This window comes from Homo sapiens, chromosome 12 (assembly GCF_000001405.40).
Source record: "Homo sapiens chromosome 12, GRCh38.p14 Primary Assembly".
Taxonomy (NCBI): Eukaryota; Metazoa; Chordata; class Mammalia; order Primates; family Hominidae; genus Homo; species Homo sapiens.
In genome coordinates this window covers 117,831,946-117,859,588 of record NC_000012.12, presented here as the reverse complement: position 1 = coordinate 117,859,588, position 27,643 = coordinate 117,831,946, and the positions used below count along the sequence as shown (strand labels likewise).

The following is a 27,643-nucleotide window of genomic DNA, read 5'->3' as shown; positions in this document are numbered from 1 at the left end:
GCTACTTGGGAGGCTGAGGGAGGAGGATCACCTGAGCCCAGGAGGTTGAGGTTACAGTGAGCTATGATCATGCCTCTGCACTCCAGCCTGGGTGACAGAGTGAGACCCTGTCTCAAAAAAAAAAAAATAAATAAAAAACAAAAAACGAAAAAAACAGGCCAGGCGCGGTGGCTCATGCCTGTAATCCCAGCACTTTTGGCAGATCACTTGAGGTCAGGAGTTTGAGGCCAGCCTGGCCAACATGGCAAAACCCCGTCTCTACTGAAAGTACAAAAATTAGCCGGGCATGGTGGTGCACGCCTGCAGTCCCAGCTACTCGGGAGGCTGAGGCAGGAGAATAGCTTGAACCTGTGAGACAGATGTTGCAGTGAACTGAGATCCCACCACTGTACTCCAGCCTGGGTGTAGAGAAAGACTCTGTCTCAAAAAAAAAAAAAAAAAAAAAAAAAGTTCAGCTCATATTCTGGCACCAAATAGCACTCAGTAGATGCCAGCCTGTTACTGTTGTGAGCATCTGACATCTTATGTCCGCTCTCAAAGATTAGACCACGTTCTTAACATCTTGAGGATTGTGAGATTTTCTTACCCCCTGGGATCCCAGAGACCGACTCATTTGCAGTGACAGGGCCAAGCCAAACCTAATAAAACCAGCGGACATCACTGCATCTTTCATGCCAGGCATTGTGCAAAGGGTTTTGCACTTAGGATCTCAACTGCTGAGACTGTTCAGCCTCCTCGCAATGACCTTTTGAGTAGGTGTGACTGTTATCCCCCTTGTACAGAGTGGGAAACTGAGGCTCAGAGCTAAGTGAGTAGTCTAGCTGGCAAGTGGATGGGGCTAGCAGGATGTCCAGCTCAGATGGACAGCAAAGCTTTAGGTCAGAAGCACTGTGCATTAGCCTTGTTTTCCTGTTGCCTGGGTCCCCCCAGAGCTGGGCAGAAGAGGAGCTTGCCTCCCTGCCAGTGAAACCAAGAGTCCTCTCTCGAGGCGCTCCCTGCTTCCTACTTGAAGAGGCTTCCTGTCTTTTTTAGACCTTGTCCGCAGGGACAAGAATCTCACCCAGCCCCACCAGATCTAAGAATCCCAAGTTAGAGGCAGCATCACCCCGCTCCATTCCTCCAGGCCCCCACCCCACCCCATCTTGCATATGCACATCAGACCACGCGCAATCTCGTATTTCCTTATTTCATTCCCAGTATGGCCAGATGAGTTTCTTGCAAATATCCTTAGAATGAATGGTCCTGTATAAGGACAGACAGTGTTGTATTTGCATGGCTCAGGGCATTTCTTTTGGAGGCTTCAGAGTCATTTATATATCAAGTGCCACTTGTGGGGGCAAATAAGGTAGAAACGATTCGATTCTAGACCAGGGGTTGAAAACTGGTGGCCCTCAAGCTGGTTCTGATATGCAGACATGTTGTTGTTGTTTGGTTAATATGATGTCAGGACATTTATTTTGAGCCAATACTTAAAAACCGAAAGAGTCTGTCTAAAAAACCCAGAGATCTCTGGCTTCACTTACAAAATCAGAAATGTTGACCATGCTGAACTGAGCTCCTGTCTGGCAGCGATTTGCTCATTTACATTTACCTGACCTGCAGGTACCTGAGTTTTGGCTCTTGCCTTAGTCACTGAGCATCTTGAGTCCAGGGACCCAGGGAGTGGGCGGGAGAAGACGTGGGGTTTCTGCTCTTTGTCTGCAGTTCAGGTATGTGTCCACCAGAGGTCCCCTTTCTGTGAAGTGACTGAAGTATGGAGAAAGCTCCACAGTAAAACAGCTGGGTTTGAATCCTGGCTCCACCAATGACTTGCTGTGTGACCTTAGGCAAGTGGTCTAACCTCTCTGAATTTTACTGTCCTAGTCTGTAAGTGGTGATGATAAAAGTGCCTACTTTCAGTAGTTTTTGTGATAATAAAAGGAAATCTATCAAAAACCTTAAAACAGTGTTCCATCCATTTCAGCTATTATTATTACTATTATTTTATCAAACAGAGGTGTGTCTGCCCTTTTGGCCCAGGTTTGTTAAGGGTTTCTCCATTTTTGATGTTATAAAAATGTTACTTTTATGATTTTTTTCTGAACTTAAGCTTTAGAGTAAATTGAAATATATACATATATAAATCATAAGATTAAAATGCACAAGTGAATCCTGAAGCAAAGAGGAGAATCCTTTTATGTTATGAATCACCCCCTTCAAACATGAGTCATTCTGTACCTTCAGATCCTGGACTGGGTGCAGTGGCTCAAGTCCGTAATCTCAGCACTTTTGGAAACCGAGGTGGGAGGATCACTTGAGGCCAGGAATTCGAGACCAGCCTGGGCAACATAGTGAGATCCTATCTCTACAAAAAAATTTAAAAATTAGCCAGGCATGTTGGTGCATGCCTGTAGTCCCAGCTACTCAGGAGACTGAGGTGGGAGGGTCGCTTGAACCCAGGAGTTTGAGGCTGCAGTGAGATATGATGGCCTCACTGCACCCCAGCCTGGTGACAGAGGGAGACCCTGTCTCTATTTAAGAAAAACAACAACCAGAAATAAACAGATCCGTGGTCATCACCTTTCTTAAAGGGGCTCACCAGCAATGTGTCCCTATTTGAGAAAGCCTCTAAGTGACTCCACTATTCTTCTCTCTCTGCCCCCTGCCTGCCTGGGTGAGTTGAAAAGGCACCATAGCTCATATTTTTGAAGATAATTTTTTGTACTGAGACAGTTTTCTTCTTTCTGGCTATCAGTTTAATGTGGGAGCTGTATCTTGTTGTAATACACAAACATGACCACAAGAGGGTAGATGTATTCCGCAATACTGCCCTAGAAACACCATCCGTAGGCTATTTCACCCTTATTTACTTTCGGAGGCTGAGGTGGGCAGATCACCTGAGGTCAGGAGTTTGAGACCAGCCTGGCCAACATGGTGAAACCCTGTCTCTACTAAAAATACAAAAATTAGCCAGGCGTGGTGGTGAGTGGCTGTAATCCTAGCTACTTAGGAGGCTGAGGCAGGAGAATCGCTTGAACCCGGGAGGTGGATGTTGCAGTGAGCCGAGATCGCGCCATTGCACTCCAGCCTGGGAAACAAGAGCGAGACTGTCTCAAAACAAACAAACAAATAAACAAAAAACAAAAAAAGGCAAAAAACCCTTAAGTAATAACAATATATGTTAAAATGTTGAGTAGTAAGTGCTATAAAAGAAGACTCATATATACATACAGATACTGATGCATAAATATAGAAGCTTGACAAATTTTGAGGTGTGTCCATATGATGGTCTAGGGAGACACTGTTTTGGGAACATGGGGTGGCGGTGAAAGTTCACCTGCCCAACACGTTAAGTTGGGAATCCTACCTTTTCTAGGTCCCTTTCCCCCACTCCACGCTATACTCCAGTGTTTCTGCTTTGCCTTAGGATGCAAAGCCATGCCCCATGGGGCTCAAAAACAAACCTAGTTTCATTTCCAGCACGGGGCATGGACTTTCAGCCCCTTTTCCATTAGGGTTTCTGAAGACCAGTGTGAGCCCTAGACCCTGCAGCCAGAGAAGAGAGGAAGCAGAGAGAGAGTGGGACCCAGCCACCAGCACACCTGCCTTGTCCTGTGCTTGCTCTGAGTTTGTGCTGGGATTTTAGATGAGTCCCTGCAGAGTGGGAGGCACTGAGAGCCAAGCAAACATGAAAAAATGGGGCCCTGCCTTATAAACATTCGAGAGACAGGCACAGTGTTGACGCCAGACAGGGTAGTAATTATAATAGCACTAAGCACCTGCGCTACCTTGCCAAGTATGGACACTTAGGAGTCCCACTTTACAGATGAGCAAAGTGAGGCCCAGAGAGGTTGAGCGACTGGTCAGAGGTTATCTAGATAATGAGTGGCAAACCCGAGATTCGGAGACCCCACTGTCATGCAAAGCGTTTACACTGCGGAGTGTTCTCCTCTAGGCACCACTACAGGGCAGCGTGGAGGCAGAGATGCTGTTCCTGCCCCACGGTTGACAATCCTTCTCCCCTCCTCTAGGAAATCTCCCCCGGCCAGCTGAGCCTGGAGGACCTCTTGGAGATGACGGATGAACAGGTGTGCGAGACTGTGGAGAAATACGGAGCCAACCGGGAGGAGTGTGCCCGCCTCAACGCCTCCCTCTCCTGCCTCAGGAATGTCCACATGTCAGGTGAGCAGGCCCCGGGGTCGGGGATGTGGAGACTTGTCCCCAGCACAGCTGCCGCGGTCCCTCGGCATCCCGTGCCCGCCACTGCAGGCCAGGACGAGACAGAGTCAACCCTGGGGGGCAAATCCGAAACGCAGGAAGAGGCAGCGTGGACCTGGGATTTGGAGGCCGGAAGACACCAGCAAGGGCAGCTCTTGGATTTGAACTCTTGCCCCAGGAAGACCCGCTGAGGTTTAGGGTATCTGGTTCTGGATAATTAGGGTCCAGATATGAAAATATTGAGTGTGAATAGGAGACCAGGGTCTTTTTACTTTAGACATTCTGACGTGGCTTTGCATTTTGGGTCAATGTCTAGCTTCTAATTTTTTTTTTAACAGAAGTAATTTGCATTAATTGTAACATAAACCAGAAAATAGATTTTAAAAAAATCACCCTAAGCTCCACCCTCTAGGTAACTGCTCTTGTCATTTTGGTATAATTTTTCCTGACAAATGGATATATGTATACTTTAAAAAATAGAATTATCCACACATATTGCTTAAATTTTTTTTTTTTTCACCTAATAAAATAACCTCTGTGACTTGTTCTATCAGTTTGGGGGCCAAATATATTGTCATCCCTCCTGGATCTTTTCCATTAATTGCTCAGATACCTGTTTGTCTTTATTAGCAGAACATCAGATATCATCTTCCTGAGGCTTCCTGCTTCTCTTTAGCCTCATGATTTTTCTGCAAATTCTGGGGCCTTTCTGTCCCAAGGGATCCGCTCTGCACATGCCAGCCACGGAGAAGTGTTAGTGGCCATCAGCACGGTTGTTGCAGTTCCCACCACAAGGTGTCACTGTTGAGCATCAGTCTGGCAGAGTCAGGTGGAGGCTCACAGATGCCCTTGCTTGATTCAACCTGCTCTATTCAACAAGCATTTGTTGAATATTGTTCTAGGCCTGGAGAAGTCTTCTAATCTGAGTGGCTATGGGGTGCCAGCAGGGCTGAGAAGGCAGCGGTGAACAAAACAGAACATACTTGAAACAGGTCATCGGCCCAGTCCTCCATGCGTGCCCTTTTGTATTTTTTCTTGCTGGCAGATCCTGATTCAGGTACAGTCAGCATCAAAAGGGACCATGCGGCCGGGCACACTGGCTCACGCCTGTAATCCCAGCACTTTGGGAGGCCAAGGCAGGAGGATCTCTTGTGCTCAGGAATTCCAGACCAGCCTGGGCAACATGGCGAAACCCCGTCTCTACAAAAAATACAAAAAAATGTGCCATGTGTGGTGGCACACGCCTGTAGTCCCAGCTACTCGGGAGGCTGAGGCTGGTGGATCACTTGAGCCCAGGACATTGATTGAGGCTGCAGTGAGCTATGATCACACTGCTGCACTCCAGCCTGGGTGACAGAGCAAGATCCTGTCTCAAAAATAAAATGGGGGGCAGACCATGCACTGGGGGCTGTCTTATGTGTTGAAGGATGTTTGGTTAGAAGCATCCTTGACCTCTGCCCATGAGATACCAGTAACATCCCCCAACTCAAAGTCATGACACATGGAAATATCCCCAGATATTTCAAAATGTTCCCAGGGAGGCAAAATCACTCCTGGCTGACGAGCTGTAAAGGTCATGTTACTCTTTACCTCTAGCACAATGGTGTTGACTCACCCAACATGAGTGTGGCTGACAGGGAGGGGCCTCTCAGTCACTCAGTACATACAAAATCTGCTCCAAAGGTGACTTTCTCTCTTTACCCACAGTGAGAAGCAGATGGCAGTTTTCTCTCTTTAAAAAAAAATTGCAGGCTAGGCATGGTGGCTCACACCTGTAATCCCAGCACTTTGGGAGGCCAAGGTGGGAGAATTGCTTGAACCCAGGAGTTTGAGACCAGCCTGGGCAACATAAAGAGACTCTACCTCTACCAAAAAAAGAAAATTAGCTGGGTGTGGTGGCATGCGCCTGTAGTCCTAGCTACTTGGGAGGCTGAAGTGGGAGGATTGCTTGAGTCCTGGAGGTCAAGTCTGCAGCAAGCTGAGATAGTACCACTGAACTCCAGCCTGGCCCACAGAGTGAGGTCCTGTCTTAAAAAAAATTGCACCAAATTACAGTGTTGTCATAAACATCTTCCTTTGTCAATAAATGCATTCACTTCTTATTTTTAATACCTGAATACTAACAATTTATTCAACCAATCTCCTATTTTTGGAAATATCCATATTTTTCCTATCATAAGCAACGCTGCTGTGAATACCCCTGAGTGTTATCTTTGGGGACCCCCGTGGCTATTTCTTTACAGTGAATTCATAGGAGAGGGGTCTTGCAGTGGAACATTTGCATATTTTGGCCGGACGTGGTGGCTCACACCTATAATCCCAGCACTTTAGGAGGCCGAGGCCGGTGGATCACCTGAGGTCAGGAGTTTGAGACCAGCCTGACCAACATAGTGAAACCCCATCTCTACTAAAAATACAAAAATTTAGCTGGGCTTGGTGGCGCATGCCTGTAATCCCAGCTATTTGGGAGGCTGAGGCAGGAGAATCTCTTGAACCTGGGAGGTGGAGGTTGCAGTGAGCTGAGATTGTGCCACTGCACTGCAGCCTGGGTGACAGCGAGACTCCATTTCAAAAACAAAAAACAACAACAAAAAACCCATATTTTAAAAATTATGGTGAACATTGTCATATATCTTTCCAGAAAGTTTGTACCAATTTATGCCGGCACAATGCCTGACAGTGAGCGTTTGAGGTTAGGTTTTTAATTGCTTTTCAGAATTCATGTTGTCTCATCCGGGAGGCACTACTGAGTTTGGCAGCATCCTTAAAAGTAGAGTGAGATTCCAGTTTCCATGAGAGAGGCATTTATGTCAGCCTTATGGGAAAGAATAGTTATTTTTTTGTGACATTCTAGGCTGTGCGAGACCATGGGGAAGAATAGTCATTTTTTTGTGACATTCTAGGCTGTGCGAGACCATGAAAGTTCTGGTGCTCCGATTTTTATTTATTTATTTATTTATTTTGAGACAGAGTCTTACTCTTGTCACCCAGGCTGGAGTGCAGTGGTGCGACCTCGGCTCATTGTAACCTCCACCTCCTGGGTTCAAACAGTTCTCCTGCCTTAGCCTCCCGAGTAACTGGGACTACAGGTGCATGCCACCACGCCCAGCTAGTTTTTTTTTTTGTATTTTAGTAGAGACGAGGTTTCACCGTGTTGCCCAGGCTGGTCTTGACCTCCTGAGCTCAGGCAATCCGCCTGCCTTGGCCTCCCAGAGTGCTAGGATTACAAGTGTGAGCCATCACACCTGGCCCTGTCCTCTGATCTTTTTAAAAATTTTTTTGATCCAGATGGACAGTACAATTTATATTGTGACCCCCCCCACACACATAGGTACACATACATGCACACACACAGCTACACATACACATACACAATTATAGCATGTTTCATGAAACAATACTCCTCCTTCTTATGCATGATGAAGATGTTGTAAATTCATTCCTGTTCTATTCTATATCATTTAGTAGATGCTAGTAATAGCCACTTTCTTTTTTTTTTTTTTAAGATGGAGTCTCTCTGTCGCCCAGGCTGCAGTGCAGTGGCATGATCTCGGCTCACTGCAAACTCCACTTCCTGGATTCAAGTGATTCCCTTGCCTCAGCCTCCTGAGTAGCTGGGACAACAGGCATGCGCCACCATGCTGCTCTAATTTTTGTATTTTTAGTAGAGGCGGGGTTTCCCTATGTTGGCTAGGCTGGTCTCAAACTCCTGACCTCAGGTGATCCATCCGGCTCGACCTCCCAAAGTGCTGGGATTACAGGTATGAGCCACCGTGCCTGGCCTGCCTCTATTTTTTGTTTTTTGAGACAGGGTCTTGCTTTGTCACCCAGGTTGGAGTACAGTGGTGTGATGTGATCACAGCTCACTGCAGCCTCGACCTTCTGGGCTCAAGCAACTGTCCCACCTCAGCCTCCCCAGTAGCTGGGACTACAGGTGCATACCACCACACCTGTCTAATTTTCGTGGAGACTAGGTTTCGCCTTGTCATTGCCCAGTTTGGTCTCGAAATCCTGGGTTCAAGCAGTCCTCCTGCCTCGGCCTCCTAAAGTGCTGGGATCACAGGCATGTGTCCCCATGCTTGGTCAAGCAGCACTTTTCATTACACACCTCACTATGGTTTGAACCTACACTGATCCCCTACCTCCACATAGGCCTCCCTCTGGACTCTTCCCAGGCTGCTAAGACTCAGTCTTCTATGTCCTGCCTCAGATGCCAGCCTTAGGGCCACTGGGACCTTGAAAGCAATGACCAAGTGCTCCATTTTAACCCATTCCTACAGCACTTAGCACTGAAGTCAGCTCAACTCAGACTTCTTAGTAAAGAATTGTGTACCCAGTTCTGATCCTTAACACTGTACTTCACGTATGCTGTTCCTGCAGGTGATGGTGCCACTTAAAAACATTTTAATGCTTACCTGTTTTGGGGAGCAATTTGTTTTTAAATGAATGCCTCTCTTTTCCACTAGACTGTAAGCTGCAAAAGGGCAGGGATCATACTTGTTTCTGCTCACTATTCAATTCCCAGGAAGATCAATATCTAGCACATAGTAATGGTTCAATACATGTGTATTTTTTTTTTTTTTGAGATGGGGTCTTGCTTTGTTGCCCAGCCTGGAGTGTAGTGGCGCAATCTTGGCTCACTGCAGCCTCTACCTCCTGGGGTCAAGCGATCCCCCCACTCAGCCTCCTGGGTAGCTAGGACTACAGGCGTGTGCCACCATGCCTGGCAAACTTTTCTGTATTTTTTGTAGAGATAGAGTTTTGTCATGTTGCTCCAGCTGGTCTCGAACTCCTGAGCTCAAGCAATCCTTGAAAACTTACCAGTGGCTTAAAGAACACAGTCTTCCTCATGGATTGGAAAACATCCCAGGGTTTGGCTCCTACTTGAAGTCCTACCATTCACATTTTCCCTTCAAGCCCTAAATATCTGCTAAATTCATGAATTACTTAGAGTTTTCTAGATGAGGCTTGGATTTCACATCTTGGTACTCACATCCCTCTGCCTAGAATTTTCTTTCCTTTTGTCCTTCTGGTGAATCCCTGCTCTTCCCCAGGCCCAGTGCAAAGCCTGGTTCTCTATGAGGCCTTTCCTGGGCTCTGCAAACTGAGCTGACCTCTTGCCTTGGCTACCGGAACAGCAGATACTTCAGTGACCACCAGGTCTACACCGCTGAGCCCCTCCCTACCTCTGAAAAGCTGTGTGATGTGCTTGCTATTAATGTCCACCAGGGGGAACCAGTGAGCCATCCTCAAAGTATCCTTCATGTTTGGAATTCCCTTCTTCCCTCAAAAATAATAATTGGTTCCTTGAAGCTTCTAACCATCTTGGGAGTTGGATGGCTTTCCTTTACTCTAAAAATGTTATCCCAGACTGAGGAATAAACTAGTATCTTTCCCATCATACTCTTACTTCTTGAGGGTGATATTGTATTCATCTTAATAGCCCCAGCTCAACCCAGAGCTGGTGTTTCCTACAGTGATGAAATCAGGTTTTTAAAATTCTGGCCCAAAGTGAGGGCTGGATGCATGTTTGTTAAATGACAGAAGACAAGTTGTATTGAGGAACTCATATGGAGACCAAGGATATGGCAGCAAGGCTGCTTTGTGCTTGGCCAAGAATGTCATCTCTTTCTCTCTCTCTGTCCCTGTCTGTCTCTGTCTCTGTGTCTGTCTGTCTGTCTCTCTCTCTTTCTTTCTCAGAGGATGGAGGTAGCTTTATTTTAGAGATGTTAATGCTAATCTTAGTTTTCTCCTTGGGTTTTAGGGATATCTTTATTTTCCAGTGCCCAAGGAGCCCCGAAGATAGGAAATCTTAACTCATTTTTCTCTTCTCATAGCTTGTTAGATCACCCTTAGCCTGAAACCAAAGAATACTCATTCATTCATTTAGCAAGATCAAAGGATCCCAGAGCCAGGATAGCTTAACCTTTCCTTCTCGTGGCAGCTATGTCCTGAAACCAAAAAACCATTATTCACTCATTCAACGAAATTGGTTGCATGGTTATTCTATGCCAGGTGCTCTTCTGATCTCTAGAAATGCGTGCTGAGGTGTGTGTCTCCATAAAGTTTACTTTCTAGTGTGGGGGGCTGGGGCACAGACAATGAATTATTGTCTTAATGATCACGTACCTTATGCAGTGTGTGAGAATAAGTGCTATGGATTAAAGAAGACGTGCAGCAGGCTAAGCGGGGTTGGTAGTGCCCTCTGGAATGGAGGGACTGGTCATCATATTAAATAAGGTGGCTAGGGCAGCCTCCGTTCTCTTTCTCCTTTCTCCTTCTTAGTCCTCAATCATCTTCTAGGAGTATGGAATCTGGAGTCCAACAAACTTGGGTTTAAGTTCTGGCTCTGCCACCTATTAGCTGTGTGATTGTGGATACGACATATTATGATTCTGTGCTTTGTTTCCTAAGCAGCAGGATGGGGATGATGATCATGTGGGCCACAGTGGTTGCTGGGAGCATTACATGAGATGATACAGGCAAATCACCACCACCACCATCACTATTGTTAGCACCGTCATCACCATCATCACCATCATCACCATCACCACCACTACCACCATCACCACCCACCACCATCACTGTTGTTACCACCATCACCACCCACCACCATCATTACCACCATCATCGCCATCACCATCACCAGGCTCCTCCAGCCTTTTTCTTCCCCCAGCTCACTTTTCTCCACTTCTCCTCATCCTCCTCTCTTTTTTCCTCCAAGGGGCCCTTCCAAGGGGCTTCAGCCTTTCTAATTAAGCACTCTCATTCTTTGTTTCCCTTCCCTCTGAGCCACGGTCTCCCTCAGCACTGCTGTTTCTTTTGAGACTACTCCCCTTCTGTCTGGCTTGATTGTTCTCCAGAGGTAACCTACCATTCCCTGGCCACAAAAATAGAGGCAAAACCTCAAACCAGTTTTCTCTGGGCACAGCCCTAGTTTTCCTCCGTGGTTACTACAGAGCTGAGGTCCTAGGGTGAAACTGATTTGGCTGCAGGAAGAGCACGTTCTCACCATTTGTCTCCACCTCCCACTCCATTCCAAAACTGGGAACTTCAGCGTCTGAGGACAGCAGGGTCCCTTCCTAGACCTTCCTGTCCTGGGCCACAGCTGTCTTATCAGAAGAGAGCCTGGCGGAGATGTGGCCCAGCTATCAGAGTGCTGTTGCTGTGGCCTTCTTCCTCTTCTCTGCTGTTCTTTTTCTCTCTCTCCTCTTCTTTTTGGCATTTTGATGGTTTTCAGCCTCATAATTTGTGGTCATCTGTATCTTTCCTTTCCCAAGGAAAAACCTCTGGTCAAGATAATAGAAGATCTGTGTTGTGGATATTGTTTTCCTTTTTTAAAACGAATATGCTTATGTAAGGATAATGGGAGATACTGCTTTCCTTCCTCCTCCCCTTCCTTCTTTTCTACCCTTCCCTCCTTTTCCCCCTCCCACGTGTGTTTATCAAGCACTTTCTCTGCATCTGGCACACACAGTGTTGGGTTCCAGGGCTCAGGGACTTTCTCAGGACTTCAGGATTGAACTGAGACCTGAAGAGGAGGGGAAGTCTTAATGACTGGGAGTGATGGGAACACTCAGAAGTGCCTTGGGACGGGAGGGAGGGGAGCATCCCAGGCACAGAGAGAACAGTATGGGTGCCCAGTGGGGATGCTGGGGAGAGTGGTGGGAGCTGGAGCCAGACAGGTGGGCAGGGCCAGCCCCCACGGTGGGCCATGGCAAGGAGCTTACACTGCAGAGTAAGCAGGGTAGGCTGAACAGAAGGTGTCTGGATCTCTTTTCCGGTTTTTAAATAACACTCTGGCTGCAGAGTCGATGGGTGGCTTAGAGCAGGTGACAGATGCTGGGAATCCTTCGGGGGCTCAGGGAGCCACGGAGGGGAGAGAGTGGAGGCCAGGGTGCTGCAGACAGGCAGGTGCCCTTGCACCCCTGCAACCTCCTGGGAGCTTGCCTGCCTGGGCCCTCCTCTGGCTTCTTCTCTTGAGTATCAAGGGGGAGAACTGGCAGTCAGGAGAAAAACAGGATGCAGAGTGGCCCCCGAAATAGGACAGCCTCAGATGCCCTCTGGCTTCTTCCCAGTTTGGGCTTTGAATGAAGCCCCCCAGAATGCCGCCTGCCACCGTACGGTCTTCCTTTGACTGGAACAAAGACTAAGAGTGGGTCTTGATTGCCCTATTGTTCTACTTGCTTCTAACTTGGGAAAGGCTGGGCTGGCAGAGGAAGAGCTGCTCCTCCCGGAGCCCACAGGGTCTCGTATGTTCTGGTGTTGACACTGATGTCTTTCCTTTCCCCTGTAACTTCTCCAGCCCTCCTGTTCTGTAGGCACTCAGGAATCCCTTACATGTAGATAGCATCAAATTAGGACTCTCGCTTACGAGCGGCAGAAACCTGATGCGAACGCGCTTAGGCGCAAATGGCTCCATTCATTCATTCTGTAAACACGGTTGGAACTCCCCCTGTGTCAGTTGCCAGGAGGGGTTGGGGATAACAGTGGTGGGGAAGGCTGGCTGGCTGTGGGTTCTCATCAGTCTGTGTCCCAGACCTGCACTGTTCAGTACAGCGGTCACCAGACTCGTGTGACCAGGTAAACTTATATTCATTAAATAAAAGTTAAAATTCCCTTCTTCGTTCTCAGGAGCCATGTTTCAAGTTGTTCATCGCCACAGGTGGCTAGCAGCTGCCCTATTGCAATAGCACAGTTCTAGAACATCCCCATCATCACAGAATATTCTAGTGGACAGTGCTGCTCTAGAATATGTTGGAAGAAACAATGAATAAGAAAAATATCAAGTTGGGCGCAGTGGTTTATGCCTGTGATCCTAGCACTTTGTGGGGCTTGAGGCAGGAGGATCGCTTGAGTCCAGGAGTCCAAGACCAGCCTGGGCAACATAGCAAGACCCCATCTGTACAAAAAAATAGACAAAAAATCCATCTAACTGGGTGTGGTGGCACACACCTATAGTCCCAGCTACTTGAGGGGTTGAGGCAGGAGGATTGCCTGAGCCTGGGAGGTCAAGGCTGCCGTGAGCCAAGATCATGCCACTGCACTCCAGCCTGGGCGACAGAGTGAGATTCTGTCTCAAAAAAAAAAAAAAAAAAATCAAATGGTAATAGGTTTTATGCAAGAATTAAAACTGAAGTGAAACAATGGTGGCTTTGTGGCTGGCTTTGATGGGCTGATCAGAGCAGGTCAGTCAGGGTTCAGCCAGAGGAGTAGAACCAATAAGATATATTAAGAGATTTATTGCAAGGAATTGGCCTATGCAATGGTGGGGGCTGGCTGGGAAGGTCTGAAATCTGTAGGGCAGGCTGTTAGGAAGGGCAGGCTGTTTGTTAGGAAGGGCAGGCTGTTAGGAAGGGCAGGCTGGTGGAATTTCTTTTTCTTTGGAGAGATCTCAGTTCTGGGTGGGTGCGGTGGTTCACGCCTGTAATCCTAGCACTCTGAGAGGCCAAGGAGGGTGGATTGCTCAAGTGCAGGAGTTCGAGACCAGCCTGGGCAACACAGCAAAACCCCATCTCTACTGAAAAAAAAAAATAAATACAAAAAATTAGCTAGGTGTGGTGTGTGCCTGTAATCCCAGCTACTGAGGAGGCTGAGGTGGGAGAATCACCTGAGCCTGGGAGGTCAAGGCTGTAGTGAGCCGAGATTGCACTGCTGGACTTTGGCCTGAGTGATAGAGCGAGACCCTGTCTCAGGAAAAAAAAAAAAAGAAAGAAAAAGAGTCTCAGTTCCGCTTTTAAGGCATTTCAATTTCAATGGGTTGAATCAGCTCACCCGGATTATAGAGGAGAGTTTTTACTTAGAGTCACCTGATTATAGACTTTAATCACAGCAACAGAAAACCTTCACCTGATGCCTAAATTGTTGTTTGATTGAATAACTGGGGTCTATCGCTTAACCAAGTTCACACTGAAACTGACAGCGAGCCTCTCTGGGGAGATGACATTTAAGCTGAGACTTGAATGACAAGAAAGCATCAGACAGGAGAAGATCTGGGGGAAGAGCATTCTGAGAGCAAACAGGTCTCAAATGCATGTCTCAGAAGCACTTTTAAGAAGCAGAAGGCAGGCTTACATGGCCAGTGGTTGTGGGGACCCATGGCTGCGTGGGTCTGTGTCTCAGACCTGCACTTCAAAACCTAGTGGCTCAACACAACTGCCTTGTTATCTCTCATTGTTATCGAGCAAAAGGGGCTCGCTGTCTGATGCACTAGAAGCCAATACTATGACGCCGGTTTTTTGTTTTTGAGTTGGAGTCTCGCTCTGTCGCCCAGGCTGGAGTGCAGTGGTGCTATCTTGGCTCAATGCACGCTCCGCCTCCCGGGTTCATGCCATTCTCCTGCCTCAGCCTCCCAAGTAGCTGGGACTACAGGCACCCGCCACCACGCCTGGCTAATTTTTTCTATTTTTAGTAGAGACGGGGTTTCACCGTGTTCACCAGGATGGTCTCGATCTCCTGACCTCGTGATCCACCTGCCTCGGCCTCCCAAAGTGCTGGGATTACAGGCATGAGCCACTGTGCCTGGCCAGGTTTTTGAGAAAAGAAAAGCTTCTTATTGAAAGTTGACTCCCAAGGACACAGGAGTCAAGCTCAAATCTGCCACTCTGGGCTGGCTTCAAGGCAGTATTTTTATTAGGAAAGGCTTAGGGGGTAGATACTGGGATTAGCAGGTGGTTGGTGGAGGGAAAGGGGAAGTCTGGAAAGTCCTTGGGTGTGTGTACTTATTTCTTTATGTTACTTCATAGGTTGCATATGCAAATTTGGGAGAAGTTAGTATGAAATATGTGGTGGAAATTTGGGCTGTGATGTCAGCAAACTTGTGCACAATCTCCAGTTGGTCATCCTGGTTCCAATTAATTTTAGCCCACTGCCAACTTTTTAAAAAACTTGTGAGTTAAAAAAAAAAAAATACTCAGAAGAGGAGGGAATTTCAGCATCTCAGCAAGTTGTTTTTTTTTCTTATCTGTTATCCTGCAAACTCAGTAATTTCTGTCATTGGTTTCATTAACTCTTTAGGGTATAGTTTCATCATCATAATTCCCTGGGCTCAGGGATTGGCTGGGCTCAGCTGGGTGGTTCTTCTGTTCCGTGTGTTGTTGGCTGGAGCTGCAGTCATCTGGGGCTTGACTGGGCTGGAACATCCAAGATGGTGCATGCTCATGGATGGCAGTTGGCACTAGTTGTTGAGTGGGTGTTCAGTTGGGGATTATCTGCTTAGGTGCCCACATGTTGCCTTTTATGTGACATGAGCTTCTCACAACACACATCCCAAGGAGGAGGAAATGGAGGCTGCTAGTTCTGGAACAGTATCCCTTCTGCTAGTGATGATCTCAGTGATGGGTCAATCAGGGAAGCCAAATTACTGTGAGTATAATGGAAAAAATGGAATTTATTAGATGTTAGACTTATACGACCGTAGGAAGAGCTGGGGAGGTACAAGCTCAAAAAAAAAAAAAAAAAAAGGGAAGCTTAAGATTCAGAGAAAGGTCTTGAACCTACCCTGACATAGGTAAGGCAGCCTGCGGTTTCAGGGACATCTGGCAGCCAATACGTCCAGCTGTTGGAAGGGACCATGAAGACAGGCTTGGATAGATGCCCAGGGAAAGTTGTTGGCCCTTTGTGGCTATTGCCTTTGTGAGTTTGTCATGAAGCATCTGGTGGTGAACTTAAGGTCGGCTGTTGGTCATTGAGGGACTACTGTCAGGAAGAAGAGTTGGCTGTGAGGTAGGGAAGATGGAGGATAAACAGGACCAGCACCCCAGCCTCTGTTCCCCATTGCCTTCAACCCATGTTACTCTTCAGGGCATGATGGCTCCTTCTCTTTTGCCACCCAAGCCTTGTACAACTTCACTTTTGGCCAGCTCTAATCTGGAACCACACAGAGAAGGGGATTCTGGAAACACGGGTGCCATGGAAGCATGGGTGCCAGTGTAACTGAGTTGTCAGTGGGCTAATCCATGACTGGGAGAGGAGGCAGAAGATAGGAGATGAGGTCAGAGACATGGTCGGGGCTCAGTTCCTGAGGCCCCTTGTAGCCATTGCTGGCAGCTTCTTAGTAGAATGGGAAACCACTGGAGGGGATTAAAGAAGGGAAGGGACTTGTTGGATTTCACTTAACTCGTTCTAGGCTAAACTAAATCCATGAGTCAATTTCCCTTCCTCTCTCCCTCCTTCATCCCTCGGTGTTCCCTTTCTGTCTAACTACCTTGCTTTCCTCATCTGTAAAATGGGGATGCTAGTTGTATCATCCTCATGGAGTTGTTGCAAGGAAAGAAATGAAGTCATATAAACACTGTGTTCGTATAAACACTTGTCTGGCAAATTTGGCACTGAATATGTACTGGACTGTGATTATTTTTATTGTTTTTAAAGTCAGCTTCCCTCCCTCCTTCCTCCTCCCTCCTTCCCAAGCTGAATCTGAACCAAGGAAGTCTTCCTACAGAGCCACTGACTGGTCCCCACTAAGGCAGGGGTGGAGGGAGGGGCAGGATGTTTTCCTCTCCAGCCTTTGTCTTGCAGCAGAACCCCTGTCGAGCAACCTGGTCCAAGGCTTCATCCACCTGTCCTGTCCCCCTGCAGCCCACTTTCTCTTTCTTGCAGGCCACCCCTGCCCCCTCTGTCTTGCCCACCTGCTGCTTCATGTGGCCAGCATCTGGCTTTTGTGGAACCCCCCCAATGAGAACAAAGAGAACCCGACTCTCTGGCTGTCATCTCTGATCAGCGCTGTAGTCACTTTCTCTTTTTATTCCTGGCATCCACGAGGTGCTGGGCAGAAGAATTGGGTGCAGAATTGACATTGAACTTGTGCTTGGCAGGGCCTGAACTCTTTGAGGTTTGTGGGTTCCATGAAACTACATGAACTGAGTCAGCTCCAAACAGACTATTACATCTTAGAATGAGACCCCCAGTCCTGTCCCTGGGCTCCCGATCTGGTCCCTATCTGCTGATGTTTTCACTGGCTCATTGCACCCAGCTACCCTCTCTTCTTCACAACGCCTGCCCCAGGGCCTTTGCACAGCCCTTCTTTCTGCCTGGAATACCCTGCCTCAATCTTCCTCTGGCTGATTCCTTGTCATTTTGGACTCAGCCCAACTGCCAGCTTCTCAGAGTCCCACTTCCATCCTGGCCACTCTCTATCCTATCATAGTCTCTAGCATATCTAAAATGATTTTGTTTATTTTCATACCCCTTTCCACAAGAACAGTGGTGCTCAAAACCTCAACATGTATCAGAATCCCCCAGAGGGTTCCACTCCCAGAGTTCCTGCTTCAGCCAGTCCGGGGCAGTGCCCAGAAATCTGCATTAACAAGTTCCCAGGCGACGCTGGTGCTGCTGGTTTGGGGAACACGCTTTGAGAACCCCTGTGTTGGAATTCTCCCTGCATCTGGCTCAGAGTTGGAATGCAAGAAGTAGTCACGGAGTGACTGAGTGAATGCTAGTGGTTGATGATAACAGCAGCGACAAATATTGATTGAGTTCTTACTGGGCCAAGTCACGCAGCACCTGCTCATTTAATTCTTCAACAACCTCATGAGGTCCGTAGGATTATTATTCCTATTTTCTGGTAAGAAAACTGAGGCTCAGAAAGGTAGAGCCCTTGCCTGGGAGGGGGGTGGTGGTCACACAGCAACTAAGTGTCAGAGGCGGGGTTTGAACTCATTTCTGTCTGACTCCTGTTAAGCGGAGGCTTCCCACATAAAAAAGTGGTGGGAATGAATGGCTTTCTCCTTAACTCTGAGTGGTCCCTGTGTTTCCATTTGCTCAGCTTGAGGGAGCAACCCTTTGGGGCTTTTGTAGCAGCTTACACTGGAACTGAGATAAAAAGAAATTATTTAAAGGCTGCATGTAAATATCAAATAATATTGCACATTTGCAGAGCACCTTCAGTTTTAGGAAGCACCTGCATGCAGGTGATCTTGTTTTAGCCTCGCAACCATATGAGTGGTGGGCAGATTAGGCTGCACGCCCAGTTTCACAGATGGGAACATTCCCAGCAGATTTGACTCTCCATCAGTATCTCTGTCCTTCCCAGCCACGGTCCTGAGGGAGGATGGGAGGCTTCTGTGGGCGCATGATTATGTTTGAAACTTGCAGGGAACATGCAGGGGGAAGGCAGAAAGGGCAAGGAGGATGAAAATATTTGTTATTATTTGGAGCAAAATTATTCTTGCCTTCCTTTAAAATATGCTGAGGGGAGATGGCTCCAGTTCATTATAGTCATGATTTTCACTCAGGTGGCTTTTTGCTTTCTCTAATTATTTCCCTGATTACCAACTTATACACTCGTGTGAGAAGTACCCAAGCTATTGTTTGGGAGAGAAAAAGAAAGCACCGCATTGACCATAATTTGCATCCACATTGGTATGTTACTTAGCAATTTTTTTTTTTTTTTGAGACAGAATCACTCTGTCGCCCCGGCTAGATTGCAGCGGCTTAATCTCGGCTCACTGCAACCTCTGCCTCCCAGGTTCAAGCAATTCTCCTGCCTCAGCCTCCCAAGTAGCTGGGATTACAGGCACCCACCACTATGCCCAGCTAATTTTTTGTATTTTTAGTAGAGACGGGGTTTCACCATGTTGGCCAGGTTGGTCTCAAACTCCTGACCTCGTGATTCGCCCACCTCGGCCTCCCAGAGTGTTGGGATTATAGGCGTAAGCCACCATGCCTGGCTTAGTATTTTTTAAACAGCTGCATGGGGACAGGCGTGGTGGCTTACGCCTGTAATCCCAGCACTTTGGGATGCCGAGGCAGATGGATCACTGGAGGTCAGGATTTTGAGTCCAACCTGGCCAAAATGGTGAAACCCTGTCTCCACTAAAAATATAAAATTTGGCTGGGCATGGTGGTGCATGCCAATAGTCCCAGTTACTTGAGAGGCTGAGGCAGGATAATTGTTTGAACCCAGGAGGTGGAGGCTGCAGTAAGCTGAGATCATGCCACTGCACTCCAGCCTGGGCAACAGAGCAAGATTCCATCTCAATAAATAAATAAATAGGCCAGGTGTGGTGACTCACACCTGTAATCCCAGCACTTTGGGAGGCCAAGGTGGGTGGATCACCTGGGGTCAGGAGTTCAAGAACAGCCTGGCCAACATGGTGAAACCCCATCTCTACTAAAAATACAAAAATTAGCCAGGCGTTGTGGTGCACGCCTATAGTTCCAGCTACTCAGAGCGTCGAGGCAGGAGAATGGCTTGAACCCTGGAGGCGGACGCTGCAGACAGCCAAGATTGCGCATTGCACTCTGGCCTGGGTGACAGAGGGAGACTCCATCTCAAAAAAAAAAATAAAATAAAATAAAGTAAAATAAAATAAAATGGGAAAAAAGTCTGGAAGGAAATCCACTTGGATATTTAGCATAGCTGTTCTTTGGTTAAGGGTGATGATTTTCTTTCTTTTGCCCTTCTGCATTTTCTGTCTTTCTGGGCAACAAATAAGTAGTTGTGTAACTTAAATGAGAAAGTTTGAAGGAAAAGAATCCTCCTCGAACCCTGTTTGCTTACTTTCATCTGTACTGTGATACTTTCTTCTCTGCTGCTGATGCCTGGTGGGGCAGGATGCTCTGACCTCCCAGGTTTCAATGGTTTTCTCACTGATTCACCGTCCCTTTGCATCTGTTCAAAAGGAAAAACTTTCTGGGCTGCATCTTTCTAAAGTAAACCTTCCCATGGCTTAGGCAACTCCTGACCACTGCGGGGAGGATTTCCTTGATTGCACCTGTGTCGATCTTCGGCCATAGTCATTGGGCAGTTATCTTGTAGTTGCTTTGATATCTAAATCTCCCATATTAGACTGGAAATTCCTAGATAGCAAGAGCCATCTTTTAATAAACAAAATAATAACGATAAAATATTAAAAACATACTGAGTGTCAGGCGGTGTTCTGAGCTGATTTTGAGGGTTATTTCACTTAATCGTCAGATATCCCCATGAGACAGGGACTTTTGTATTCCCCAGTTTTCAGATAAGAGAATGAAGGCACAGAGGGGTGAACCATGGTACCCAACCAAGGTCACATGGCCAGTAAATTGCGGGGTACCAGCACTTGAGCTCGGGCTGATTCCAGACCGTACACTCTAAACGCAGCACTTTGTTCATTTCCTACAAACTACTTAGCATGGTTGCAAAAGTATCATTGAATGAATTAACGAACAAATGAACTGTCATAATCTAATCACAGAAATTATGTCCTTGGAGGGGAAGGTTGAAGCCTTTATAATTTGCCCTAGGGGAGAGAAGTGAAGCCAAAGCACTTTCTGTCTGTGTATCAGGAATGAGATCGTGTGGGAGGGATAGTGATCAGATAATGAGAGATTTTCTCTCTAAAACAGGGGTTGACCAAGTATAGCCCACGGGCCAAAGTCAGCCCTCCACCTGCTTTTGTAAATAAAGTTTTATTGGAACACTGCCATACCTATTTGTTTCCACTTTGTCTATGGCTGTTTTCACGCTGCAACATCAGAATTGTGTAGTGTGACAGAGACCGTATGGCCCACAAAACCTGAAATATTTACTGTCAAGCTTTTTAGAGAAAATGTTTGCTAACCCTTTTTGTAAAAGACCAAGCTAGAAATAGTGAGTGTCAATTAAAACAAATACATACATGTCTAAGTCAGGGGAGATTTTGGTCTGATGTAAAGAAGAACTTCCTTTTGGAGGAGGGCAATAAATACATGAAGAGGCTGGGGAGGCATTGACTGTGGAGAACTCTGTAGTGGGGGTGAATGAATATTTGCACAAGTGGTACAACATTTATAGGGGGCTGTAATTGATCAAGAACTTCCTATAGTAAGTGCTCAGGGGAAGGCAGGAAGGAGGCACACGCCCAGAGAGGGTGAGATGCCTAGGGTCACACAGCTAGTACCTGGTAGAGCTTGTGCTCAAACCCACATCAGTTTCACCCAAAACTTTCATTATACATGGTCCTGACTGGGCATGGTGGCTCACACCTGTAATCCCAGCACTTTGGGAGGCTGAGGTGGGCAGATCACAAGGTCAGGAGTTCGAGACCAGTCTGGCTAACACAGTGAAACCCCATCTCTACTAAAAATACAAAAAATTAGCTGGGTGTGGTGGTGTGCGCCTGTAATCCCAGCTACTTGGGAGGCTGAGGCAGGAGAATTGCGTGAATCTGGGAGGCAGAGGTTACAGTGAGCTGAGATTGTGCCATTGCATTCCAGCCCGGGTGACAGTGCGAGACTCCGTCTCAAAAACCCAACCCAAAACGTTATGCATGGTCCATTGTGCTGACTTTTGGGGTCTGTTCTGCATCAGACTGAGTTCTTTGGGGAGTGGGGACCACATCTCGTTGTCTTTGGAGTGCTGTACACAGATGCTGTCTGGATAGTACTCTCTGAAGGTCACTCCTATATAGGAGTCTGTGGCTTTCTTTGGGTGAGTGTGACCACCATCCTGATGGGATTCAGAAATGTGGGGTTGCCCTACACTCCGAATTTCCCCCACTGACTTCACTCTTCAAACAGGAAACCTTAAATGGTCCTCCTTTCCCCACACAGAGAACCTGTTGCTTTGAGTTGGGAGGGTGGGAGACGGTACTTCCCTACCCCCAACATCAGCCCTGTCCTTGGGAACAGAGCTCAGTTTAGCTTCATCATCTGATCATTTTCTTTCTTTAGCGCCTTTGTTTCTTTCCTTCTCTATCTGGTACTTTGTGGAGGAGAAATGAGGCAGACCAGCTTTGTAACCGGATACCAGGATGCTCTCAGTGGCTCGGGCTGACAGATTTTTCAAGCTCCACTTGTAAAGACCTTGTGCCATCATGATCACGTAGGGTGGAGGAACTGAGCGTCAGGGCTGCATTGTTGCTTTCAATCCTAGGCTCCTTGCTTGAAAAAGTTAGGGGCACGTAGCTGCTTGGCCGTAGACACTGGGATGCCTTTTCCTCCCAGTGTTTTCTTGGACACCATACGACCAGGGCCACCTCTTGATGGCGCAGTGTCATGTTTGGCCACCAGGAGGCGCTGCCCGATAAGCTTCCTTTAGCGGAGACGTCAAAATTGTCTTGAAATCGGTGCACAAGATGCATAGTAATGTAGAAACTGGCAGGAACCTCGGTCTGATCATCTCAACTTTTAAGTAAGGAAAAACTGAGTCTGAGAGAGGAGGAGGGCTTGACCCAGCTACAGCAGGGACTAATGCTGGCTTAATTCTGTTTCACAGACCGAGCTTTCTCGGCAGGCAGGCTGGAAGCCAGGGGAGACCCTGGGTTTCTTTCCCGGCTGGCCCCTAGTGAACGGCAGAGGCATCTATCAGAGCAGCCTACTCCGACGGGGCCTTGCTGCCACTCACCTTCCTTCCGCATTCATGTCATGATGCTCTTGCGTTGGTCTCCCTGCCACACTGCAAGACCAATTAAGAGGAGAAAATGAACTGTAAAGAAGGAACATTGAAATGCAGCCTCCAAATAATAACTAGTGGAGATGCAAAGGGAGCTCCGAAGCGACAGAAAAAACTCTAGGCAGTGGCTTCATTCCCTTGGGAGACATCTGGAAAGAGCTTGGGGCCCGGCCTGGGGCACCCCCAGCTGCATGGGAGCCCTCCCGAGAGGCTGTCTAAAGAATGGCTACGATGAGAAGTGGCTGGACTTGCTTCAGTTGAAATCAGTGTTCTGGTGCTTGCCACATTCCCTGCAGTGGGGTGCACTGATAAAAAAGACACGGGCCACAGTTGGCAAGGGGCTGGGCCTCCCGGCTGCGTCATTCAGCTGCCCTGGTTGGTTTGTGGCACAGTCAGGAAGGCATATGAGTCCTGAGCCTGGGATGTGAGTCCTGCCTGGGCCACGGGTCCAGCCTCTTCCCTATCGGAACCTCTGTCTTTGAAACAGGCATCATGATAGCGAGTCTTTTAGTGTTGTGATGTTTAAGGGAGGTGATGTGTGCTTTTGCCTCTGTCTGGGACAACCTCTCCATCTGAGCGGGACTTTGCTGTGCTCCTTTTGGCTGGGGTGAATTGGGAATCATACAACCCAAAGAGAATGGTGAAGTGAAAGGTTTCTCTCCATTTCCTAATAAGTACGGTGTTGGCATTGCCTGTTCTGCCTCCAGTATCTTTCTGGAAGGTAGATTCCACAGGAACTGAATGGTCTCGGGGCCCCAGAGCTGTTGAAGTCCACTCCATGATGGGTACCGACAGTTGAGGGTGTTGCCTGTGACTTCCATCAGGCCCTAAACTTGACGATGCTACTGCCCTGTGGATGGAAGACAGTGTTCTGACCCCTTTTAGTACTTTGGAGCAGAAAAAAGTTAGCACCCAATCGCAATCTTCTTTTAACATATTTGGGAGGTTGGGAAAAGTTTCCCAATAGTCTTTTATGGAAATATTTTTACTCCCCAAGAGTGGGCAAGTTTCTAGACTAAAGGGATTTTCTGTAGGGGGTTGTCAGTTTACGGAGGGTACTTCCTAACTGCAGACTGTCTGGAGGCTGTAGGGTAGGCGGCCTTGCTTAACAACAGTGCTCATCGTTAATCCTCTCTGATGTCAGTCATTACATCTCAGGTCCCAAGTAGGAGGTTTTCTTGGTGGTCTCCAATTACAGCACAAAAAGGGCTAGCCCCTAGGGTTTCTCAACCTTGGCACTGTTGACATTTGGGGCTGGAAAATTGTGGTGGGGACTGTCCCATGCCTTGGAAGATGTTTAACAGCATCCCTGGCCTCTACCCACTGGATGCCAGTAGCATCCAACCCCCTAGCCCCTGGTAGTGACCATCAAAAATGCCTACAGACACTGTCAAATGTCCCCTGCGGCAAAATCACTCTGGGCTGAGAGCCACTGGCTTGACTGATCCTAAGCGCTCCAGGAACATAGCCGCTTTGGTTCTAAGGAGGAGGATAATGATTATGACGACACTGACGACAACTTCTGTATTCTGAGGCCAGATGAAAGCCAGGAGCTTTTGTGAACACTGAGGTTCTGTAAAGCACAGAAAACCATAACTGAGTTGGGGTTTGGCTTATCATGCCCAGAGCATGGTTTTCCCAGGGGTCTTTAGTCCAATTAACAGGAACCAGATGAAAGCGAGGAACCGTGATATACCACCCTCCCTCCAACTCGCCATGCACACACATACATGCACCATCTCTCCCTGTCTCCCCAGGGACCTTGTTAAAACTTCCATCAGTTTTGCAGATAAACAGCTCCTGATCACCCATGAAAGGGGGCAACAGCAGACGGAGCTCAGGGCTGGAGGCAGGATGCTTCGGTTCTGGCTCTGCCCCTGACTTCTCTGGTTATGGGAGCCTGGGTCAGCCACATGGCCTCACTGAGCCTGGTGTCTTGGTCTGCCAAATGCCTGAGGACAGGATGGATGGCCCATAAGCCCCTTTTTCCCTGGACTCTGTGTCTCGGGTTCGATTTTCATGCCCAGCCAGTGAGCTGCCAGCAGAAACTGCATCCCTGCCCTCGAAGACGGCTCTCTGGTTTACCCGCACAGCTTCTAACTGTTGTTACTATTACTGCATTGATCCCTATATCCACTCAGTGACACCTTTTTTGGATTCTTTGAACATAAAAAAATTAATTCCCACCTTTGCATTTGTTTCTTCTGCCTGCAATACTGTTTCTGTGAGCCAGCTCCTTTTCATTATTTGGGTCTCAGCTCAAATGCTGTAGGAAGTACTCAGTGCATGGTATTAGTGTGATTATCATATATTACTATTAGTATGATTCTCATTGCTCTTCTCAGGCTGGGGAAGCACAGGGGCTGGGAAGCCCAGAGGAGGAGCCTCACCGCAGCCCGAGCAAGGTCAGGGGAAGTTTTCTAGGAGAATAAACCCCTCCATTGAGTTCAAAGGCTATGTTTGGGCTTCTCCTGTTGCCTCCTGGGTTGATTATTTTATTTTATTGCCTATCAAATGCCAAATCTCCAATCTACTCAGGACAGTTTCTTTTTTCATTCAAATCACCATAGCTCAAAAAAAATCCCTACCCCGCCCCCCACCCCCAGTATCTTTTTGGACCATTTTGTGATGTCAAAGCTGCCTGCAAACTTTCAGTATTGAAGTCAGTAACATACGGTGCCCTGGAAAAGGTGTACTTGTTTTGTTTGGATTTTGGAAAGAAGGACAGAGTTGTACTCAACTACATCCACTTTCCTTTGATCTTTGTACCACTGACCAGAGGGTGGAAGCAGAATTTACCTGAAACTCCTTTTAACTTCGGATCATGGTCTTTATTCAGCCGAGTCCTTCGGATTCTTGGGTGATGCCAGTTCTGTTTTTTTTTTTTATTTTTTTTGAGACAGGGTCTCACTCTCTTGCCCAGGCTTGAGTGCAGTAGCCTGATCTTGGCTCACTGCAACCTTTGCCTGCCAGGCTCAAGCCGTCCTCCTCCCTCAGCCCCCAGAGTAGTTGGAACTATAGGGGTATGCCACCATACCTGGCTAATTTTTTTAATGAAAATTTTTTTTTTTGTACAGACAGGGTTTCACCATGTTGCCCAGGCTGGTATTGAACTCCTGGGCTCAAGCGATCCGCCTGCCTCGGCCTCCCAAAGTGCCCCGCCAGGTGTTGCCGGTTCTAAGACAAGATACTGTGATTTTTTGGGAAATCACGGTAGGGGAATTATGACATCAAGGTGGGTTCAAAATAGGTTGAGATGAAAGAGCTTGTAGATTTCTTCATGAAGGAAGGACTTAGTGTCCGGTGGTCTTTTCTGAATATTCATGATGCCACTGAATGTGGAAAAAGAGGATTTAAAATGCACCCCTGGCCAGGCACAATGGCTCATACTTGTAATCCCAGTGACTTGGGAGGCTTGCTTGAGTGACAGGAAGATTGCTTGAGGCTGAAGTTCAAGACTAGCCTGGGCAACATAGCAAGACCACTTCTCTACAAAGAATAAAAAAATCAGCTGGGCTTGGTCGTGTGTGCCTGTAGTCCCAGCTATTCAGGAGGCCAAGGCTGGAGGATCTCTTGAGCCTAGGTGTTTGAGGCTGCAGTGAGCTATGATCATGCCACTGCACTCCTGCCTGGGTGGCGGAGCAGGACCCTGTCTCTAAGAAAACTCCAACCCCCACCCCCAAATGCACTCCTGTCCCAAGGGTTTCTGCACAGATATTTAACATTCCTCTACTATGTATAAGGCATTGGTCCACGTTTACAGTGTGCTAGACACATCATGTGTGAGGAATTTCCATGGATGACTTCCTTTGATTTTTATTACAACTTTCTAAGCTATGAGTTGTCCCGTCCCTTGTAAAAAGGGAGGAGATAGAATTCAGAGAGGTGCCTGGGCCTAGCAAAGGCCGCACAGCTTGGGTAAGTCACAAAGCCAGCATTGTGCTCAGAACTTAGGGTGAAACCACCACTACATACCGCCCCACCTTCCCGCCTCCACCACCCCCCGCCCCACGAAGGCTCTGAAAGAGCAAAAGGAAGGCAGGGTATTTGTTGGGAGCCCACGTGCTGTGCAGAAGCCACTTGGCCAGGGTCATGCCACTGGTCTCTCCTGGGTCTGTCTGAAAGCCCGTGGACTTCAAGAGTTCAGACTGATTTTCAAGGGACGTAAACCCATCACCTGCAGTGACCTGTTGTCCCAGGCAGCAGTGCATTGGCCTGTGCCTAGGTAAGGCTGGTGGATGGCTTCATAGCCTAGGAGTAGGTTGGACCCAAGGCAGAAGGTGAGAAGTAGGGAGAAGTGAGATGACTTAGGAAGGGCTAGAGACAAGGCCTGGGGTCTGAAGGAGCACCCTGCTCTCTAGGGCTCTGGAAAGGGCAGATTGGAATGCTGATGCCATCCTGCCTCCAGCTTGCTCTGTGACATCAGGCAGCTACTGGCCTGACCTCCGTGGCTCTCTGTAACAGGAACACTGCAACAATACCTGCATCTTCCTTAGATGGTGGCATTGAGGACGCAGTGAGGTGATGCAGATAAAAGCTTGCAGCTCAGCCCTGCTGCATTCTCTGTGCTCAACAAATGTCAATTGCTACTTTTGTTGATGACGCTGGGTCTGTAGCTTTATCTGTAGCCATTAGCAAAGAAGAGGGGGGAATTTCTCTGTTGAAATAAATTGCCTTGTAGCTCTGGTTTCCTCCCCTAAAACATGTGGATGCGGACACGGTACAAGATTTGTTTTGTTTTGTTTTGTTTTTGAGATGGAGTTTTGCTCTTGTCTCCCAGGCTGGAGTGCAATGGCATGATCTTGGCTCACTGCAAACTCCGCCTCCTGGATTCAAGTGATTCTCCTGCCTCACCCTCCCCAGTAGCTAGGATTACAGTGCACGTCACCACACCCAGCTAATTTTTGTATTTTTAGTAGAGACGGGGTTTCACCATGTTGGCCAGGATAGTCTCAAACTCCTGACCTCAGGTAATCTGCCCGCCTCGGCCTCCCAAAATGCTGGGATTACAGGCATGAGCCACTGCACCCGGCCACAGTACAAGTTTTATAGGAGGTGAAAAAACCACCCTCAAGTATCTTAAATGGTGCT

At 47.7% G+C, this 27,643-nt stretch overlaps 1 protein-coding gene and 1 long non-coding RNA gene across 10 annotated transcripts in view, besides 2 other annotated features; one reads left to right on the top strand and one right to left on the bottom strand.

Moving 5' to 3' along the window:
• KSR2 (kinase suppressor of ras 2) overlaps nucleotides 1–27,643 on the top strand; it is a 515,979-nt gene that overhangs the window by 109,402 nt on the left and 378,934 nt on the right. For all 7 annotated transcript variants that reach the window (XM_011538224.4, NM_173598.6, XM_011538225.4 and 4 more), the window contains exon 3: nucleotides 4,011–4,161. In XM_011538224.4, the coding sequence (XP_011536526.1) occupies nucleotides 4,011–4,161 (151 nt within the window). The remainder of the gene's footprint in view (nucleotides 1–4,010; nucleotides 4,162–27,643) is intronic.
• Nucleotides 12,104–12,621: an enhancer, noted in NCBI's record as "OCT4-NANOG-H3K4me1 hESC enhancer chr12:118284773-118285290 (GRCh37/hg19 assembly coordinates)". NCBI's record gives its function as "activates a minimal SCP1, AML or CMV promoter by ChIP-STARR-seq in naive and primed H9 embryonic stem cells {active_cell/tissue: H9 hESC(naive and primed)}" and the evidence as "EXISTENCE:reporter gene assay evidence [ECO:0000049][PMID:30033119]".
• LOC105370011 (uncharacterized) lies at nucleotides 15,811–26,823 on the bottom strand. 3 transcript variants are annotated; one of them, XR_945401.3, is made up of 4 exons: nucleotides 26,730–26,817; nucleotides 25,352–25,424; nucleotides 22,505–22,555; nucleotides 15,813–15,894 (listed from the first exon to the last, which is right to left on the bottom strand). It is a non-coding gene; the product is annotated as an uncharacterized LOC105370011 (long non-coding RNA). The 3 variants fall into 3 exon arrangements; XR_945403.3 differs by lacking the exon at nucleotides 22,505–22,555 and having other exon boundaries at nucleotides 15,811–15,894; nucleotides 26,740–26,823; XR_945400.3 differs by lacking the exon at nucleotides 22,505–22,555 and having other exon boundaries at nucleotides 15,811–15,894.
• Nucleotides 22,825–23,370: an enhancer, noted in NCBI's record as "H3K27ac-H3K4me1 hESC enhancer chr12:118274024-118274569 (GRCh37/hg19 assembly coordinates)". NCBI's record gives its function as "activates a minimal SCP1, AML or CMV promoter by ChIP-STARR-seq in naive H9 embryonic stem cells {active_cell/tissue: H9 hESC(naive)}" and the evidence as "EXISTENCE:reporter gene assay evidence [ECO:0000049][PMID:30033119]".